This window comes from Homo sapiens, chromosome 1 (genome assembly GCF_000001405.40).
Source record: "Homo sapiens chromosome 1, GRCh38.p14 Primary Assembly".
Taxonomy (NCBI): Eukaryota; Metazoa; Chordata; class Mammalia; order Primates; family Hominidae; genus Homo; species Homo sapiens.
Genome location: NC_000001.11, coordinates 36,725,410 through 36,745,735, shown reverse-complemented (window position 1 = coordinate 36,745,735; position 20,326 = coordinate 36,725,410). Strand labels below are relative to the sequence as shown.

General features: G+C 49.0%; 3 annotated features.

The window, feature by feature from the left end:
* Nucleotides 1,771-1,903: a transcriptional cis regulatory region, noted in NCBI's record as "candidate enhancer chr1.4865 targeted for multiplex CRISPR interference". NCBI's record gives its function as "positively regulates AGO4 gene expression with high confidence in K562 cells {active_cell/tissue: K562}" and the evidence as "EXISTENCE:mutant phenotype evidence [ECO:0000015][PMID:30612741]".
* Nucleotides 14,281-14,994: an enhancer, noted in NCBI's record as "H3K27ac-H3K4me1 hESC enhancer chr1:37196343-37197056 (GRCh37/hg19 assembly coordinates)". NCBI's record gives its function as "activates a minimal SCP1, AML or CMV promoter by ChIP-STARR-seq in primed H9 embryonic stem cells {active_cell/tissue: H9 hESC(primed)}" and the evidence as "EXISTENCE:reporter gene assay evidence [ECO:0000049][PMID:30033119]".
* Nucleotides 14,995-15,706: an enhancer, noted in NCBI's record as "H3K27ac-H3K4me1 hESC enhancer chr1:37195631-37196342 (GRCh37/hg19 assembly coordinates)". NCBI's record gives its function as "activates a minimal SCP1, AML or CMV promoter by ChIP-STARR-seq in primed H9 embryonic stem cells {active_cell/tissue: H9 hESC(primed)}" and the evidence as "EXISTENCE:reporter gene assay evidence [ECO:0000049][PMID:30033119]".

Below are 20,326 nucleotides of genomic sequence, written 5' to 3'. Positions count from 1 at the left end.
AGAAATCATGGGTGAATATTTACCTGACTTTGGAGTGAGGAAAGTATTTCAAAGCACTCTTTTCTTTGGAAAGAAGAAAGCACAAAAAAAGAATAACTAATCTAAAAACATAAAAATCAGGCTGGGCACGGTGGCTCACGCCTGTAATCCCAGCACTTTGGGAAGCCGAGACGGGCAGATCACAAGGTCAAGAGATCAAGACCATCCTGGTCAACATGGTGAAACCCCATCTCTACTAAAAAAATACAGGCGCGTACTACGCGTGCCTGTAGTCCCAGCTGCTCAGGAGGCTGAAGCAGGAGAATCACCTGAACCTGAGAGGCAGGGGTTGCAGTGAGCAGAGATCACGCCACTGCACTCCAGCCTGGCAACAGAGCGAGACTCCATCTAAAAAAAAAAAGAAAGAAAGAAAAGAAAAAAAATCAAACCATTACATATATCAAAATATCGTAAACAAAATTAAAAATCAAACAACACACTAGGAAACTAGGAAATAATATTTGTAACATACATCACAGACAAGGTGAATAACTCTTACAAATCAATAAGAAAATCCGGAAACCCCATTAAAAAAAGGAGGAAAGAACATAAATAAGAAAGGTACAATAGAAAACTACAAATAGCCAATAAATATATGAAAAATTTCCATATCACTAGTAATAAAAGAAATCAAAATTAAAACAATGAGACATATATTTTGCCTGTCATCTTAACCAAGCTTTTAAAAAATCATAGTACTTAGGGCTGGCACTGGTTCAGAGGAAAGGAAACTGTTCTACCTTATGGTGGGAGTATGAATTGTCACAATCATTCTGTGAGGCAATTTATTTATATGGATCAAAGGCTTTAAAATGTCCATACTCTTTGATAAGGCAATTCCATTTATAACAATTTCTCCTAGGGAAACCATTAGAAATGTACACAAAGATTTATTTCCAAGGAGGTTCCTGGCAGCATAGTATACAATAACAAAAAAAAATTAAAGCAAACAAAAAATATGAAGACAATTGATTTACAATCTCCAACACTAGGGGATTTGTTAAGTAGATTATGTTGGATTCATATGATGGAATGCTATGTGGTCATTAAAAATCATGTTCTCCACTCATATTTAATTTTAAGGGAAAATGCCCTAGGTGTAAAGGCAAGTGGAAATAAAAAGAATACTAGACTGCATCAATTGTATGTATGTATGATAGATTTCACCAATAAGACTGCTCAATTCTGTGCCCACTTCCACCCACCCCCAACTTTCTGCTGCTTCTGCCGGGTACTGCATCTTCCCCAGCACTGCCTTCTCTCCTGGGTGTCTCTGCCATTTCTATGAGATAACACCACCTTTGCTGGGCATGGCCATTCTCAGCAGGTGCCATTACCCCCAACCAGGCTCCCAATATGTTCAGCCAAACTACTATCAATGCACGTGGAATCACCTAGTACTACAGGACCTTCAAGTTCTGGAATCCCAACTTGAGGTAGCCAGATGAAAAGAAGAGCATCTTGGGTGACATGTCCAAACCATGGGAAGTAACGGGGTGTAGTTGGAGTATAGGAATGACCACAACCAGGATTTGAATGCCCTCTAACAACCCCCACCACTCCATTTCTCACCTCCACTTCTCTTGATGGATTAGCTCTGCCTCCTGCTACTCAGATTGCTCTCTCCCACAAGGTGGGGGAGGTCCACCAGGCCCACAATAATTTGGAGGATGACAGCTCATGCTGTTGCCTTTAAAGGATTGGCTTTCCCCTGTTCGTTCCAAATAAAAATTCTCAGGGAAAGTTCCTGATTGGCTGGACCTGGGTCATGTGATCACTTGTGTGACTATAAGGGTGAATGGCTTTTCTCTGTTTGTTCCAAATAAAAATTCTCAGGGAAAGTCCCTGGTTGGATGGACCTGGGTCATGTGATCACTTGTGTGACTATAAGGATGAATACCGTGATTGGTAGCTCCCACTCAAACCACAGGGTGGCATGGGATAGGAGATGAAGCAGCTCCCAGAAGAAGGGAACAGGTGCAGGCAGGCAGGCTTTTCGTCTGTTCTTCTCTTGGGGAAGGGCGTATGCCAAGAGCTCTGTCAATGTCCCCAAGGACTTATAGAGCTTTTAGTCAAAGTGTTCTTTCCATTTTTGCTTAATTCCCCTCTATCTTCCCAAGGGCACACATAGGCGTTCATAGGTCAGGCCCAAGGGAAAACCTGAGTTATAATTCCCACTATATGCTCAGCCTCACCTCTCCCATCTGGCCCTACAGCTTATAACCACTTCTATTCATTGTATACATTTTGTGTGCCAAGCCCTCAAAGTACTTAACCTGCCTATTACCAGCAAGGGCCCAGCTCAGCAGGTGGGGGTAAAAATGCAGACACATCTGTTAGTAAGTTTCCAATTATTTAAATGCCCACCAATATTAATCGCACAGTTCAGTGACTCCATCTCAAGGCCTCAATCCTCATTGCCTCTGTGTTATTCAAAGCCCTAAGGAGTCAAACTTGCTTCCAAACACCAATAGAGTGAGAAACAGAATGTTCCTGTTAAAGACCAGACCTGCCTGCCTGGCGCAACCAGTCCATGCACAGGTGTAAATCCTGCCAGCACCACCTGAGCATCCAGGGTACCAGCTCTTTTATTATGCAACACACACACACACACACACACACACAGAGAAAAATGTCTTCCTACCTCAGTAAGTTTGCTTGCTGGCCTTATATTTGCATTACTCTGAGGAAGCCTCACATAGATTGCCTGTACAGCTCTACTCCATTTCTGTCTCTGGTCTATACAGAGAAATCGCTGATAGCTTCTAGATATGAAAATGCTGTCACTTGTGCCTTGTTACAGGTATTGTTATTTCATGCAACCATCTTAAACAGCTGGTGAATTGGGCTCCACTATTATCCCACGTCTTATAGATTAGGAAGCAGGAAAATGGGCCCAAGTCCACCCACCCACCCATGGTGGAGCCGATATTCAGACCCAGAGCTGGCCCTGCCTGGCTGCCTCTTACCGCAGGATAAGTTTTCTTCCAGGAGGCGCTTCAGTCCCAGAAGAGATGGTGGTGGCCCTGTGTCACCAGCTCATCAGCTATGCCAGAGCATGGCTGAATTCCAGAGCAGGACACACTCTGCACAGGCTGAGAAGCCCCCTGCATGCTGCATCGTGTCTAGGGAAAGAAGATGTGAAAACATGAGGCAATGTTAACCATACATGTTTCTAACTGGTGAGACTCTGGATCATTTTTATTTCCTTCGTTATGCTCTTCTAAATTTTCTGGGCTTCCAAAAAAAAACATGGATTGCTTTTATCATCCAAATAATGTGAAAGGGTACACACGTGTACCCTTTCATGTTAGATATGTATTTAAGTATTAAACTTTCTGCACCCTAATACTAATAAGTGCTAGTGCTTCTCCATCTCCTCCAAATCTCAGTGCTGTCCTTCAAAAAACCCTGTCTGTCTATCTGTCTGCCTGTGAACGCTGATTTAATCTCTGCTTTCTGTGTGTTGGGATGATGGTCTGGAGCCCTCCGCAAATAAGAGCCATCCTCTCAACCATGCAGCACTTCACACCCATGGACTATTTTCACGGACCCTCTGGAGCAGGCATCAACATTTCCCTTTGACAGATAAGAAAACTGGGGCTCAGGGACATTAAGTGCCTTCCACAAGTTCACCTTATTAATGGGGCCTCTCTGTTCCTTCCCACATCAAAGGCAGTCTGCTGTTAGTAGAAGTGGGATGGAGGGCAGCCTTGTGAGGAAGGGCCTTGGTTTTGGAGTCAGCAGACCTGAGTTGAGATCCTGACTTGGTCCTCACAAGCTGTGTGTCCTGGACACATGAACTTCCCTTCTCCAGATCTCTATTTCCTCATCTGTAAAATGGGAGTAATTAAAAGTGCTTGCTTCATGAAGTTATTGTAAGAAAGAAAAACTACACTGTCCTTCATATCAAAATGGCTACTAAAAATACAAAAATTAGCCAGGCTTGGTGGCACATGCCTGTAATCCCAGCTACTCAGGAGCTGAGGCAGGAGAATCACTTGAACCCAGGAAGCAGACGTTAGAGTGAGCAGAGATCTCGCCATTGAACTCCAGCCTGGGCATCGCAGCGAAACCCTGTCTCAAAAAAAAAAAAGTCTATAATAATTTTCTAAGCAGAAAATCACAGGTGTTGGCAAGAATATGGAGAAAGTTGAGCCCTCAAACATTGCTAGTAGGACTGTAAAGTCATGCAGCTGTTACGGAAAACAGTTTGGTGGTTCCTCAAAAAGTTAAATATAGAATAATCATAGGACCCAGCAATTCTACTCCTAGATATATAACCCAGACAATCAAAAACAAGTGCTCAAACAAAACTTTGTACATGAATGTTCATAGCAGCACTATTCATAATAGCCAAAAGGCATTAAAAAATATATGTCCATCAACTGATGAAAGGATACACAGAATGTGGTATATCCATACAATGGAATATAATTCAGCCATAAAAAAGGAAAGGCTGCTACATGCCACAACATGGATGATCCCCAAAGACAGTATGCTAAGTGGAAGAAAATGAACTCAAAAGGCCACATATTACATGATTCCTTTCACATGAAATACCCAGAATAGGCAAATCCGTAGAGACAGAAAGCATCCTAGTGTTTGCCAGGGGCTAGAGGGAAGAGGGAATGGGGAGGGATGGCTGAATGGGTATGGGTTGATGAAAATGTGGTAGAACTTGATATTAGTGATAGTTACACAATTATGTGACTGTATTTAATGGCACCAAATTGCACACTTAAAATGGTTACAATGGTAAATTTTATATTATATGTATTTTACCATAATAAAAAATAAGAGACAATGTCAGTGGAACTCACAGTGCTGAACCTGGCCTGTAGTAAGTGCAATAGGAGCTAATGTTTCAGGCAGATGATAGAGACAGAACTTCTGAACTCCAAGCAGCCAGCTTCTCCCATGGGCTGGACAGGAGGGGATGATGAGGGACTTCCTGAGGCTGAGGCTTCAGCCCCAGACCCCAGCTGCTGTCTGAGGGCCTGGGCTGGACAGGAGGGGATAATGAGGGACTTCCCGAGGCTGAGGCTTCAGCCCCAGACCCCAGCTGCTGTCTGAGGGCCTAAGCTGGATCAGGAGGAGCTCTGGAACCTCAGTCTGCATCCTGGGTGGCTCTGAGCTGAAAACAGCAGACAGACCTGGCAGCTTCCTTGGCACCTTCCCCCACCTTTGCACCCCAAATGCCTGCCCCTAAAGCTCAGGCAAGAACAGGAGACAAAGAAAGAAGTAGAAAAGAATGCTTGTCCCAACACCTGGTGCAGAACCGGCCTAACCATCCACCTCTTGCTCTCCAGGAGAGGAATAGCCCCTGACCAAGAGGGTCAGACCTGCCTCAACACATTGGGTGCCCTGGAAATGCTCACTTGAGATGAACCCAACAGCTCTAGCCTCCCAAGAGCCTAAAGCCACAGGTGAGCGGGGGGAGAGAGAGAGGCCTTGAGTGGAAGACGTGAACCTCTGTCTCTGGCAGGTGAAGCACAGTGGCCAGTAAGTGTCATTGCCCTCAATCCCAGCCCACCCTGGAAGAAGTGGGCAGAGGAAGCAATGCAGTGAGTCATACCACATGGGTCTTCGTTCATGCCGGCAGCACCAAGCACAGCATAGGAGAGGCCCTCCTGACAGAGTTCACCCCAGGAGATCCTCAGGGCCAGGACAGGACAGCCACTCCTCCTGAGACCTCCCAGGTTAAGCAGCCTGCCCAGGGCCCAGAGTTTGCCTGTTTTCTTCCCACCTTCCTTCCTTCCTTCCTTCCTTCCTTCCTTCCTTCCTTCCTTCCTTCAAGTACACTGCCCCTCCTCCAAAAGAGAGATTCAGGATGCTGCAGGGAGAATGAAATCATTGAGTCAGGAGCCCCCTTCCTCTCAGCCTGCAGAGCCCATAAGCAATTCCCATCTGAGTCCAGGGGGCAAGCAATCCTGCACTCAGAGAGCGAGGCTAATGCTCCGTATTCCATTAACCTGGTGCATGGCTGGCAGGAGGCTGGCAGGGTGTCCGGGGGTGAGGTAGAGGAAAAAAACCTCCTGATTTTCTTCCTGGCTTCAAAATGAAGGAAAGTCTACAATTCTCCACCAGGAGCCAGAAGCCCTTTTCTTTCCTGTGATAATGGTGAGGGTTTGTTTTCTTTCATTTAGACGCTCCCAAACTTAATTTAAAGTTTCTCTCTTTTAAATATGTCCTGGCTGCAGAGTGAACAGCAAGGAGCTGCCAAAGGAAAGTGGAGAGGGAGAGATGATTGCCGGAGCAGATATTGCAGCAGCTGAAATGAAAAACTGTCCCTGGGAGAACTTGAGGGAGGGAGGAGAGCGCTCAGGGACTGGGATGGGGAGTACAGGGTGGAGGGGGACCCCAGGGAGAAGGGAAGGCCCGAAGAACCCTAGCCAGCCAGTATTTATTGGATGTTGATTCCCCAAAGCCCATTTTCTAACATCACCCGGATTTGAGGGGTGGGGGCAGGGAGTGACCTCTCCCACCTTGAGTATTGTCTCAGCAGGAAGAAGATTCCAGGTAACTACTTTCTGGCCTGAAAGCTGAGCTTTTCTTTCTCCTGACCCTAGCACAGCCAGGGAGTGGACATGGGGCCTCAGTTCCCCTCCCAGGTGACTCTTGAGGGATGCTGGCAGAGCAGGAGGCTGAAGGTCAGCCTTGGCCACAGCTGCATACCCCCAGCCTGTGCCAGCCTCAAGACCACCTTCTGTTTCCCGGGCTCACCATCATCATCTTAGTTCCTGCCTGTGCCTAAGGCCAGTCCTAATGTCTCCTCCTGGGTCTGGGATAACTTCAAAGACTTCCAGTCAATGCCCTTTTGCTTAAATTGACCACAGTTCATTTCTGTTACTTTCAAGCAAGAACCAGGTTGACCCGGACTCACCCAAGGACCAGATGTTCCGTCTCCATTTGACAGTCTTCCATTCCAACAGTCTGTGCATTGATGAGATAAGTGGAAGTTAACACGCAGAGAGCAGGGCCCTGGTGCTAGGTTTGTTTTGAGAGCATTGATCTCCTTCCCCTGTTGCCACCCTGGAAACACTTCTCACCACCCCCAATTACAGCTCATCTCCTCCTTTCACAGAAGTGGGGCCGTGTGTGTCCTTGACTGCTCCATTGTGGCTTCCCTTTGCAGTCACTCAAAGGCCCCTCCAGCTTTGCTTTGTCCTGCAGAGAACTCATTGGTCCCCACCGTCTCCCTCCAGCAGGTTCTGCTCACCTTCGGGTCCTCCTCGCTTCTCCTCTCCTCCTCCTGACCTGGATATGCCATGTAACAACCCAGCTCTGGGGATGTGCATGGTGAGGAAAGCCCTCAGCTGGAGTCTGGGGGCCCCAGCTCTGGTCCTTGCTTGCTCTGTGATGTGGCAAACCTCAGTCTCCTTGGCCTCAATTTCCCTATCCATAAAAAGATGGGGCTGATGTCCCACCCAGATCTCATCGCTGGTGAGGAGGGAGTGCTGCCAAGAAACAAACTGCAATGAGATGGTCAGATTTTCCCCCTGGGCTGTTGACCACAGAGCCTCCTAACTCCCCCTCTGCCTCCAGTCTCATCCCACCTGCTCCATCCTCTGCAGTCTCCACATCAGGTTTTGCTACTCCTTTGCTACCACTCACCATGGCCCCATTCATCCAGACTGGCAGTGACATTCCAAATATTTAACAATCAGAGAAAGACACCCTGGAGCAGATCCCGGAGGCTCCCTGCTGTGACGGGGTGAACGCTCTAGTGACTGGATTATGGGGAGGACGGGTGGGGGAAGCACAGGGGGGACGGCGGCTCTTCACCAGCAGGAACATTTCAATAGATCACCTACCAGAGCAGCCACACTGTTCGGCTCCTCCACCCTTCTGCTGTCGGCAACCGAAGCCCTGCATTCAATCCCTTCTGTCCTAAACGTTTCGAGGTTTCTGTTTTCCTGGCTGGATCCTGGCTGATATAACATCCAACACCAGATTTCCTCTTAGGGAAGCAAATGTTTTTGTATAAGAAAATACCTTGATAAGGCACTTGAGGTAACATCCTAAGGGTATGATTTGACAAGAGACAAGGAACTGAAAGAGATAGGTAAAATGCTCTGCATGGGAAACAAGTGAGAACTGGGAGGTAGGGGAGAGAGGGAAAGAGCAAAGGAGAAAATAATAAAACAATGTAACAGGAGGTGGAAGCTCAGGTGGTGGAAGCTGAGGGACTTCTAGGAATGGAAATATCAAAGATGGACTTTTACACTGCTGGCGGTTTTGCAATCTATAAATCCCTTCTCCCATCCTTTGGAAATGTCTGCTACCCACAGAGACTTTGTGTGCCCAGCTATGCTTTGTTTTAGGGGTGAGGCTGATTTTTTTAATGAAACACAAAGGAAAGGATTGAGGTCCATGTCTGGGCTGACTCAGGGTGGAACCGACAACACCAGCAGGAGGTAAGAAGATGCATAAACTGCATTAATTCAATGCAAACAAGAGCTGAGAGCTAGAAATGACAGTGAGAATAAGAGCTAATCTTTCATAGTGCTTACCATGCACCAGGCTCCGCTCTGAGCATTTGCACAGGAACTCACTCATTTAATTCTCACAACAACTCGATGAAGTCAGTACTATTATTATCTGCCTTCTACAGATGTGGAAACAGAGCAATTGAGTAGCGTCAGTTGCTCTAGCAAGAGATAGAGCTAAGATTTGAACCCAGGCAGTCTGACTAGAGTCTGTGCTCTTAACCACCACCTGTGAGAAGCCCTCCAGGAATGTGCGGGAACCTCAGGAGATTTTTAGTGTACAGTCTGTTGTATGAGGGTTTGAATTGAGCTGACCTGGATCTTAAGGGCAAGAAGAGTCTAACTGGCACCTGGGTTTATCTATTCTACCGTCACTCTCTGGGACTAGCTCTGAGCTCCCCCAGGGCAGGGACCACATTTTATTTCTCTGTGACCTCAGATCTTCCACAAGGCCTGGCACAGAGTAGGAAGTAGCTCCAGTTCATTTTGCTTGGGTAAATAAGGGAAGGGAGGGAAAGAAAGACCCAAAGGAAGCCAAAATGTTTATCTGGACCAGGCCAAGGCTGAAACCAAGGCAAGGGAGATATTTGTCACCTTGTCACCTCCCCTCCCCCAGTGCTAATTCCAGCGCTGCCACCTCCCATGCAGGCGTGAAGCTGTGGATTTTTCCTAATCGAGAAGGAAAACATCTTCTGTCTAGTCAAGGCAAGGCTGTGAAGGCGGTGCCGCGCGGGCTGGCACCACACACTCGCTGCATTTCAGAGCTGCTTTTCTTGCTGCTGTCGTGCGTTTAACTCTTCCCATGTTTTAAAATGTAAGAGCCATGACACCCGCTTTGAAAGCCCCAAGGAGAGGGAGTGATGGTATCTCAACAGGAACAGCTCTACTGGGAGGTGTGGAGGGGACGAGGGGTCTCTACAGCAAAGAAGTAGTCATCTCTTCAATCTTGCCTCTTCAGGATCTATTCTAGTGTTCTTTATTTCATTTTCATGTGATAAAAATTGAGATGTACAACTCTTGTCTCAGCTAACATGGGCGGCAGTCAGCCAGAAAGAGTTTTGTCCTCCCACGTGGGCAGGCTGCGGGCAGGAGACAGGCTCTAGGGAAACATCTTTGGGGGCTGTGGGGATAGGAGTTCCTCCTTTTTTTTTTTTTTTTTTTTTTGAGACAGAGGAGTTTCACTCTTGTCACCCAGGCTGGAGTGCAATGGCGCGATCTCGGCTCACTACAACTTCCACCTCCCAGATGCAAGCAATTCTCCTGTCTCAGCCTCCCGAGTAGCTAGGATTACATATGCCTGCCACCACGCCCAGCTAATTTTCATATTTTTAGTAGAGATGGGGTTTCACCATGTTGGTCAGGCTGGTCTCAAACTCCTGACCTCAGGTGATCCACCTGCCTCAGCCTCTCAAAGTGCTAGGATTACAGATGTGAGCCACTGCACCCAGCCAGGAGTTCCTCCTTGATCGTCCCTCTTCTCCTGCACATACAAACACACACACACACTACCCATACAGTGCAAGCACACACACGCATACACAGTCGTACTCCTTACCCCCAGGGCAGGCCCTGGTTCACAAGGAACCAGAACTCCAGATTTGCCCAGGTTCAGCCAAGGTCCAAGAGATAGGAAGGCTAGAGGCCTGTCCCAATGACCTCTCCAGACACCTCACCTCCTCCCTAGGGCCAAGCACTGCTAGTGTTGCTGGGATCAGGGAGTAAATGAAAGCCGAGGCACCAGTAGGGGTCTGTGTCAGTATCCAGGCAAGGGATACTGCTGGCCTGGACCAGAGCAATAGTATTCACAAATAGAAAGGAAAGGGCACAGTCAAGAGATATTTGAAAGTAGACCTGGAAACACCTACTCATTGGAGGGAAGTAGAAGAGCAAGAGAAATGAAGGAGTCGATGGGGGACCACAGGCTTGGGTGATGGCTGATAGGGGTGACATTCCCTGACACAAAGAGCCCTGGGGAGGAAGACAATGAACTTTGTATTGGACATGGTGAGCTTGAAGGACATCCAAATAGAGACGTCCAGTGGGCAGTCGGATATGAGGTCTGGTGCTCAGGAGAAAGGTCCTGGCTAGAGATGGAGATTCAAGAGTCCATGGCATACAGATGCAATCATGGTCACCCACTGGATGGTCTCATCCACGGAGAGTGTGAGGAGCAGAAAGAAAGACCAAGTGCATCAATATTGAAGATACTCAGCTATGAGAAAGATGACCTGAGAAGCTAGGGCCAGATGTTGGGCAGAAATCTGGGCAAGAGTGGTGTCTTCAAAGCCAAAGGCATGTGCACAGAAAGTGAGTGTGATCGCCAGTCCCAAAAGCTGCAAGGAAGTCAGGCAAGATAAGGACCAGAGGGTGTCCAATCAGGCCTAGCATCAAGGATGTCACCTGATGACCTTGGAAAGGTCTTGGTGGGAGCAGAAGACCAATTACACAGGTATGGGAGAAGAGAAGTGTGGACTGCTCAAGAAGCCTGGATTCAAGGCAAGGGAGAGACAGGGTCAGAGCCAAAGGAGCCACCAGGCCTAGGGAGGGAGGTTGTTGTATGTCTGTTTGCTGGCTTCTTTCTACAATGGAAGAGCCTTCAGGAGGTTTCTGGGCTAAAGGGGGCAAGGCAGTAAAGAGAGAGAGATTGTGATACAGGAGAGAGGAGTTCCTCATGGAGAAAGGCCCGTGAGAGAAGGTGGAGGCATGCAGACAAGGGTACAGGGGCTGGGGGAGGAGTCAAGGGTGCAGGGAAGGTTGACCAAATAGTGAGAGGAAGAGCAGCTCGTCTGAGGAACAGTGTGAGGACAGAGACAGACATAGAGCAGTGTGGTGGGACAGGGAGCTGAGGGAGACTCAGTCCCAGGAAGACCTCAACAGAAGGAAAGTAAGAGGCTGGGCCTCTGCCTGGAGAGACCGGGACAGGAGGGAGCTTGGGACAGTAGCGAGGGCTTTCAGCTATCCCTGAGAACAGGAAAGGTGTCTGAGCAGGGACAGGAGGTTAGCTCGGGCCCTTCTTTCATTGCAGCTGTTCACTGCTCTGTTTTGTGATGTCCATTTCCTGCAGCCTCAAGGCCAGAAGCTTCTTAAACCTTCTCAAGCCTGTCTGGGGTCAAGAAAGCTGAGGGGTCAGTGGGGAAAGGAAAACCCACTCTAGCATGAAGGAGAGTTCCTATCAGCCCCTCTGGCAATGCCATGGCGTACTGTGGGAAGTGGTGAGTTCCACCTCAGTCAGGAAGTTGAAGCCAAGAATCTCAGCTGGGGCCAGGCATCATGGCTCATGTCTGTAATCCCAACACTTTGAGGTCAGGTGAACTCAGGGGTTTGAGACCAGCCTGGGCAACATAGCAAGACCTTGTCTCTACTAAAAATTAAGAAAAAAAATTAGCTGGGTATGGTGGTACACACTTGTAGTTCCAGCTACTTGGGAGGCTGAGGCAGGAGGATTGCTTGATCCTGGGAGATTGAGGCTGCAGTGAGCTATGATCGCACCACTGCACTCCAGCTAGGGCAACAACACAAGATTCTGTCACAAAAAAAAAAAAAAAATCTCAGCTGGGGTCTGTAGTGGGGATTCCCACATACAATGGTGGGCCATTGGACTACTGCCCTCAATGTCCTGTCCTGCCCTGGGTTCTAAAGGCATGGGACAGGGTGTGACTGCTGCCTCCAGGTTGGGAGGGATAATGCTAGATCTGGCCAGGCCAGTGTCCTGTTGACAGCTTCCTCCATCCCCCATGGCTCCCCATGGCTCTTGGGAGCACCTATGACCCTACCCCCTACCCATCCTGTTATTCTGAGAAGCCCTGCCCACTCAGGTTCATTTCCTGTTAAACTCAATCAATTAATGCCTCTTTTATCTTTAGAACATCTACCAGAAGGATTTGGCCATTTTTTTCCTATTATTTTCAAATAGAGAAAGTAAGGGTCAGAGAAGTTAGGACTTTTCCCCAAAATCGCAAAGACAGTGGGGGAGAAAAACTATACCCTATGGCTCTGGGCTTTGTCCCATCTATTCCACTCTACAGCTGGGGCCACTGCCACTACCACGAAGACCTCCTGCCCAGCCCTGAGCAGGTGCATCAATCCTCCAGCCACGTCACTTAGTAGCTGTCATCTGGAGTCTGCCAGGATGGACCCTGGCTGGCCAAGAACCTCAAGTATCTGCTTTCTTCTCCCTCTGCCTCAAGCACTGAGCCAGAGAACCCCAAACCCAGTGGAGTGTCCTGGCCCTTTCAGCCAAGGGACACTGCTCTTCCCAGCTCCCATTAATCCTCATGAAACCTCATAAGGGAGGTGTCCCTACATTACAGATGAAGAAATTGAGGCTCAGAGAGGTGAAATGACTTTGCACAGCCAGAAGTATCCAGGTTAGATCAAGACCTCAAATCTCCTAATTCCCAAACTTGCATTGGTTCCCTTCCACCCCACTCCCTCACTGGATCCCCAAAGAGCCAGGCATTATCCACTCTCTAGTTAGGTGGCAAATGTCCAGACATGAGGACAGTCCAAGGGGCTCAGCCCCCACTCAGGATGAGCATTCATCTGCAGATGCACGCTCTCTCCTTCCTTTCCTCTTGAGGTCTCTTGAGCAGCACCTTAACAAAGCTGTGGGCAGGAGCAGAAGGGCTTAGGTTGCTTGGTTTAGAGCTGGGAAGACAGAATCACTTGCTGGAGATCTCTGAGGGCTGTCAGGGGACACTGGAGTGACCACATCATAGGTGGTCTCTGGGGCCAGAGCTAGGACCACTGGGGGAGACCAGTGAGGGTAGCAGTGGAGAGATTTTAGCTCAGTCTAAGGAAGAATTCCCCGGGGCAAGGATTGCTGCCCCATGATGGAAAGTCTCATTTTAGGACAGAGTGAGCCTGGTGAGGAGGGTGCCCACCATCAGGAATGCCATAAAGAGATTCTTACCACAGGTAAGAGTCAAACTAAATGATCCCAAATACCCTTTTTCACGCGGAGATCCTGTGGTTCCACAAAACGCCACATGTGGATTTCACCCCTCTCTCCCTCCCCTCCGCCCCAGCCCACCAGTCTCACACTTGCATCTGCATCCTCTTTTATGACATGAATATTTAAATGTCATCTGATTGCATTATGCATCATGAGTCAGGAAAAAAAAAAATGGGTCCTGAAAGCCTTCCCTCTGCCTGTCTTCCCCCGATCCCCACTGTCTTGCAGGAACCAGAAAAATAAACCCATTCGCAAGTCACGGGTCCTGGAGCTCCTCTCTCCTACCTGCACCCCACTTCCCCTCTCCTGGTGGCCACAAGTAGACCAGGAGCAGGCACCACCTGATCCTGAGCAGCAGGGGGCAGTTCACCAGTCACAGGCAGTAGAGCCTGGCAACTCAAGGTTTTTGTCACACAGAAGGCCCCACGTCAGGGCCATGCGCCTCCTTTTAATGATCCCTTCCCCACTACATGCCCCAAACATGGCCCCATGGCCATCCACCTGTGCCAGCCCTTCCTCTCTTCGTGGCCATACCAAGCTAGAAGCAAACAGTAGCATCCTGTCCCAAAGGCTTACCCCGTCTTTAGTGACGTCACCTCAGCATTTCAGTAAACAAGCCTGGCTGAGCCAGGAGGAAGGAGGCAGGACTGTGTGCATAACCATAGTCAAGGGGGTCTCCACTCGGGGGCCTGTGACCTGCAGCCAGGCAGGAAGGGAGGCAAGGAGTAAATGCCCCACCTCTCTCTCCTCCCACCCTCTGATCTCCTGTCAGTGCTGCCTATTGGCCAAACCCAACTGAAGGCCAGAGGCAGAGGAGAGCCCTGAGGTCAGAGGTGTTCACACAGGTCAGGCCAGGGGCCCAGATCAGGGTGGACAAGGGTGGGCACAGGACCTGGAGGGACGAATGGAGAAGACCCAGCACCCTAGTCTCCTACTCCTTCCTCGGCTCTCCCTTGACCTCCCCGCCCCCACTCCCAGCCTTTCTTCTCTCTCCCATTTTCTCTGCAGAAAAACCAGTTCCTCTCACCTTCTCATGCAGAACAGTTGAGCCAATTAGTTGTTCTTATTGCCTTGGCTCTTGTCAACTTGCTGCCCTCAGGACCTCACCTTCTAGCCCAGGTAGCTTAGCAAGGTATTTCCCTAAACAAAGACCCTAAAAGGAATTGTGCTGTCAAGCTGTTAAGTAATCTGTGTTTTTTCCACTTTAGCTACAAAAGAATGGAGAGACGGAGGTGTTCCCAAAGGGAGGAATGACTGTCTTGTCCCAGAAACCTCTCTGCCTAGGTCTGGAAGCAAAGAGATGGGCCTCTGTGGCCCCTGCCAGGCCTCTGTAGTGCTAGGTGGCAACTGAATCCCTGCCTTGTCTCCTCCCACCTCCTTCCCAGAAAAAGTGGGGAGTTCCCTTAGGCCCCGCACCCCCAGGATCAGCACCTATAGGGCTACCATTGCTTCCCATCTAGAGCCTTCTGTGATCCCAAATGGCCCCACTCCCGCACTTGGGGGTGTGTCCCCCCAGCTCAAGGGGCAGCTCAACCCTGGAGGATGGAGCCTCCTGCTCCTCCCCACCTCTCAGACTCAGGGAAGCAAATGAAGGTGAAAATAAAGGCTTCCTGCTGGGGTCTGAGGTCTCTTCTCCAGGAGCTGCTTCACCAGCTAAATACCACCCTCTCGATGTTTGGTAATGACCTTTTTAAGTCTCCACTTTCCTGCCTTGGTATTTAGAGAGCAACCTGGTCTCTGGGGAGGAAAGGCAACTGAATTCTTATTCATGGCACTTCAGAAGGCTGGCCCCAAAAAGAGAAAAGAGAAAAGCCTCACCTCTCCCCTCCGGTGGCTGACGCAACCAGAGCCATAATTCTTCCTGCCCTGCAGCAGCGACTCCTCCGGAAGGTGCCCACAAAGCCGCATTGTGACAGCTGTCACTCAGGCTTTCCAAACTAGCATGCAAAGGCGTGTGCCCGCACCAGTACATGAGAATGTCTGTGAGTGTCCTTGCACATGTGTGTGTACCAGTGAGAAAATGGGCCTCACCTGTGTGGGCCAGGGCAGATGGGGTTTCAAGTGCGGACACAGAGCCACAGGTATGTACGGGAGTTGCATGTATGTCCATCCATGTGCATGTGTGTGGGGAACATGGATGTGCTTATGTGCATGCCTCTGGGGGAATCAGAAGTATCATCATGTATGTGTGCACAGTGGGCTCAGGTGTGTTTGTGGGCACCTAGATAGGCACAGGCTGGCCCTTCTGAGGCATTGGGGACTACAGGTCAATTTCTGCAGCTGGGGAGCTGGCCGCAGCAGAGAAGTGCCTGTGGTTCTCCAGGGAGCCAGGCAGGGGTTGCGTGGGGTAGGAGGCACCCTGCTCCACTTCCCCCAAGCCCTGCACACATCTGACCTGTCGTCCAAGCCTCTGCCCCAGGCCCTCAGACTAGCTCCTGCTACCACCCCCCTGGATCTTGCTTTCCCCCTCATCCCACTGCTTGGACACAAGGAGGTTTCAGAGCCAGTGAGCCTGGCCCTGCCCAGGTCCTTGTGGACTCTGCGCCACCCACCCTGCCTTCCATCAATCAAGAGCTGCCTACTCAGTCTCCCTGAATGAGACAGGTTGACTCTAGCCCAATAGCTGAATTCCAGTCAGCCAGCCCCTGGCAAGTGCCCCAGGTCCTAGCACAGCGCCTGGCAGGGGTGCACTTCCTAAACACATGTAGAATGGATAAATATAGCATGTGAGTGCATGTCCCAGGCAGTGGGGAGAGACTACGAGGAAGCCGCGGTGTGAGCAGCAGGCTGCGATTGGGGAGCCATTGCAGGGCGGGAATTACATTCAGCAGAGGTGGATAGGTAAGCCTAGTGCTTGCTCAGAAAACGGTCAGGACTATAAATTTAGACTTGGGATTGTGTTGTGGATCCTGTGACTCTGCCCAGATCCCCCGATCAGGACGGAAACAGTCATTTCCCCAGCTGCAGGCAACATCGGCTGCTGTCAGTTGTAGCTGGGCCAGTCTTAGGAATTCCCTTTGGTAAAAGGAAGCAGCCACACCCAAGGTGATGCCCCCTCCCTAGGGGCAGCTCACATCCAGTGACTGTCTGCTGCAGGGACACAATAGCTAAGTTCTGGCCTCAATTCAGGAGATCCCTGAAGGACCCCCCGAGGTCCAGGGTCCCCCTGGCCTATCGCCAAGGCCTTTGGTTGAATTACATCTCAGTGTAAACCCGCCCTTGCTGTCCTGGCCCTTCATCCCCCTCAGGTGTTGTTCCCATGAATGCTCCCCACTTAGCTTTCTGCCAGCAAATCTCCATCTCGGAGTCTGTTTCTGAGGAAGCTAATCTAAGTCAGGCATCACCGCTGCATGCATGTGAGATAAATGTAGGGAACTGGAGAGAGAGCCTGGGGACCGTGCACACAGTGAGATGAGAAAGGAAGGGAAGGAGAAAGGAGGAGAGGGAGGCAGGGAGAGGACCAAGATGAGGAACAAGGGCACATGAGCTTCAGACCAAAGGACTGCCCTGAGATACGGAGGGAAAACCAAAAGATCCTACTATCAGGAAGTCAGAAGAGCAGAATATTCAAGGAGGGAGTGGCAGTAGCACCAAACTCCGCAGAGAGGTCCAATCACATTAAAAAACTAAAAAAAAAAAAAAAAAAATCTGTATCAGTCAGGGTTCTCTAGAGGAACAGAACTAACAGGATAGATGTATATATAAATCGGAGTTTATTAAAGAGTATTGACTCACATGATCACAAGGTGACATCCCACAATAGGCCACCTGCAAGCTGAAGAGTAAGAAAGCCGGTCCAAGTCCCAAAACCTCAAAAGTAGGGAAGCCGAGAGTGCAGCCTTCGGTCTGTGGTCGAAGGTACAAGAGCCCCAAGGCTGAAGAACTTGGAGTCCGATGTTCGAGGGCAGGAAGTATCCAGCACGGGAGAAAGATGGAGGCCAGAAGACTCAGTCAGTCTAGTCTTTCCACATTCTTCTACCTGCTTTTATTCTGGCTGTGCTGGCAGCTGATTAGATTGTTATTGGGTTAGCACCCAGACGTGGGTGGTGACGTTGGCCAGAGTGGCCTCCAGGGAGTGGTGGGGGTGGAAGCAGATGCCACTTAGGTGAGGAGACCAAGGGAGGGGAAGTGATGGGAAGAAGGAGCTGAGATCATTCTTGGGAGAAGAGAAGGCAAGAAGGAAGATGGTGTCATGGCTGGAAGCAATGTTAGTATCATCATCATCGGTTTTAAGACTGGACAGACTTGAGCATAAACCTTGCGAATTTTCCAACCAGAAGGCCATCTTCATTCACAGCCCCCAGAGACATCTCAATATCTATCAGGTGGGTTTTTTCTCTTTTTTTCCTTTTCGAGATGGAGTCTTGCTCTGTCTCCCAGGCTTGAGTACAGTGGCACAATCTTGGCTCACTGCAACCTCTGCCACCCGTGTTCAAGCAATTCTCCTGCCTCAGCCTCCCAAGTAGCTGGGATTACAGGTGCCTGCCACCACATCCAGCTAATTTTTGTATTTTTAGTAGAGATGGGGCTTTACCATGTTGGCCATGCTGGTCTCGAACTCCTAACCTCGTGATCTGCCTGCCTCAGCCTCCCTAAGTGCTGGGATTACAGGCGTGAACCACCATGCCCAGCCTCATGTGGGTTTTTCTTGTCCAAGAGCAAAATTAATAATCCCAACCACTTAAGCAAGAGAGATCCATTACTTTGAACTAAAAGGACACTTGTCACTACAGGAATACACTATATATTAATAAAAATAAGGTAGCAGCTGGTGACAGCCTCAGCAGACTGTTGGGGTCTCCCTGAAGAACCCACTCCCTTTTGGTTATTGTTTATCTGTCATTTGGCCTTGGAGGGCAGCCCAGAACAGAAGCTCAGAGGCTATTGTTCTTATAGTGAGGTGACATATGGAACTGCAGTTCCCAACCAAGAACTCCCAAACTGCCCTTGTTTGGGTCAGTTTTGTAGTTTCTGTAGAACTGGAAGACTGCTACTTGCCATTAGCCAGACCAAGCATGTGGTTCAATTGCTCCTCCAATACCAGTAGGCAAAGAAGAGGGTGGTTAGGCCAGCTTCAGGCAATAGGGAATGTCTGCGATTGGCTATTACTGCAGTGCCTAAGAGCCCAGGCAATGGTGTCCGGCAGACTGAGTGTGAATCCTGGCCTTACCACTGTATTAGTTACAGTAAGCAAGACTTGACTTAAAACACACATGGTTTATTAGCTATCATGAAACACATAGGTCAAGACTGGTGTGGTGGATCCACGCATTCATCAGAAAATCCAATTCCTGTCTTTCTGCTCTGAAATTCACAGCTTCCATTCTCAGAGTCTCTTCATGACCCAATATAGCTGACAGGGCCCCAGCCATTAATTATATCAGCATTCCAGGCATGAGGAATGAGGACAAAAGGGGAAAGAATACATCTCCCTCCAACTTAAGATGCCTTTTTTTTTTTGAGATGGAGTCTCGATCTGTCGCCCAGGCTGGAGTACAGTGGTGCCATCTCAGTGTACCACAACCTCCACCTCCCAGTTTCAAGCGATTCTCATACCTCAGCCTCCTGAGTAGCTGGGATTACAGGCATCTGCCACCATGCCCAACTAATTTTTTGTGTTTTTAGTAGAGATGGGGTTTCACCATATTGGCCAGGCTGGACTTGAACTCCTGACCTCAAGTGATCTGCCCACCTTGGCCTCCCAAAGTGCTGGAATTACAGGTGTGAGCCACCACACCTGGCCAGGATGCTTTTTCAAATGGTCCTTATAATGCTGCCTACATGTCATTGGCCAGAACTTAATCACCAGGCCACATTGGGTTGTGAGCTGGGCACTGTGGTGTGAACCTGTAGTCTCAGCTACGTGGGAGGCTGAGACAGAAGGATCGCTTGAACCCTGGAGCTCAACCCAGCCTGGGGAACACAGGAAGAGAGGCTGTGTCTCAAAAAGAAAAAGTCTAATAGAGTTCTGTTAGTAATGAGGAAGAGGAGGATGCATGATATGGCAGCCAACTAGTAGTTCCTCCCAGAGCCTGTGACCTCAGGCAATTTACTTGAGCTCTCTAAGGCCTCAGTTTCCTTAGCCATAAAGCAGCAATAATAGGGCCTTCACTGTTTCTGTCCTCCATTGCTATCACTAGCAGAAATCAAACACTCAAATATCTATGGAGCTCAAGAAGATAATCTACATAGGAGACGACTGGGAGTGGTGGTGACTGGGGTTAACTGGAGTAGCAGCCTCCGTCTAGAGGGAGGTCCCTACTCACCTCCAGCCTCCTATGAAGATCTTTCAATTTTTCAAAAGAAATGGAAAAATCAGGATTATGTGTAAAATCTTTCTCATTTTAAATTTTACAATAATTCACTTTTTTAACTTATAAAGGTCAAAAAACCACACGTGTACTCATGTACCTGTTGGTACATGACCCTAAATATGACCCTGGAGTGTCAGTGGTCCTGGCCTCAGGACAATAAGACCATCCTGTTCACCTTTTCTCAAGACATCTTGATTTCTTTTGGGTGTGCTATATACCTGTTCCCTGGTGACAAAGTCACTTGGGCAAAGGACAATGTGGATGTGCCATGCAATGGTTTATAATGACAAAATCTGGATCTTGTGGGTCTGTGTATACTGGTGCTTCCTAAGTGTTTGAAATAAGGCTTGCAGCTCACTGCATTCCACCCCGGCTTTTTACAAACATCCAACACTGGGCACAACCAAATAAACATCATAAGGAATAGCATGATTCTGCATCTTAATCTCTTAAGCAATTATTGGAACAAGTTGACAAAAATTTGGATCGGAGACCTAGGTGCTGGCCACATGTAGGTGTGAGCCTCT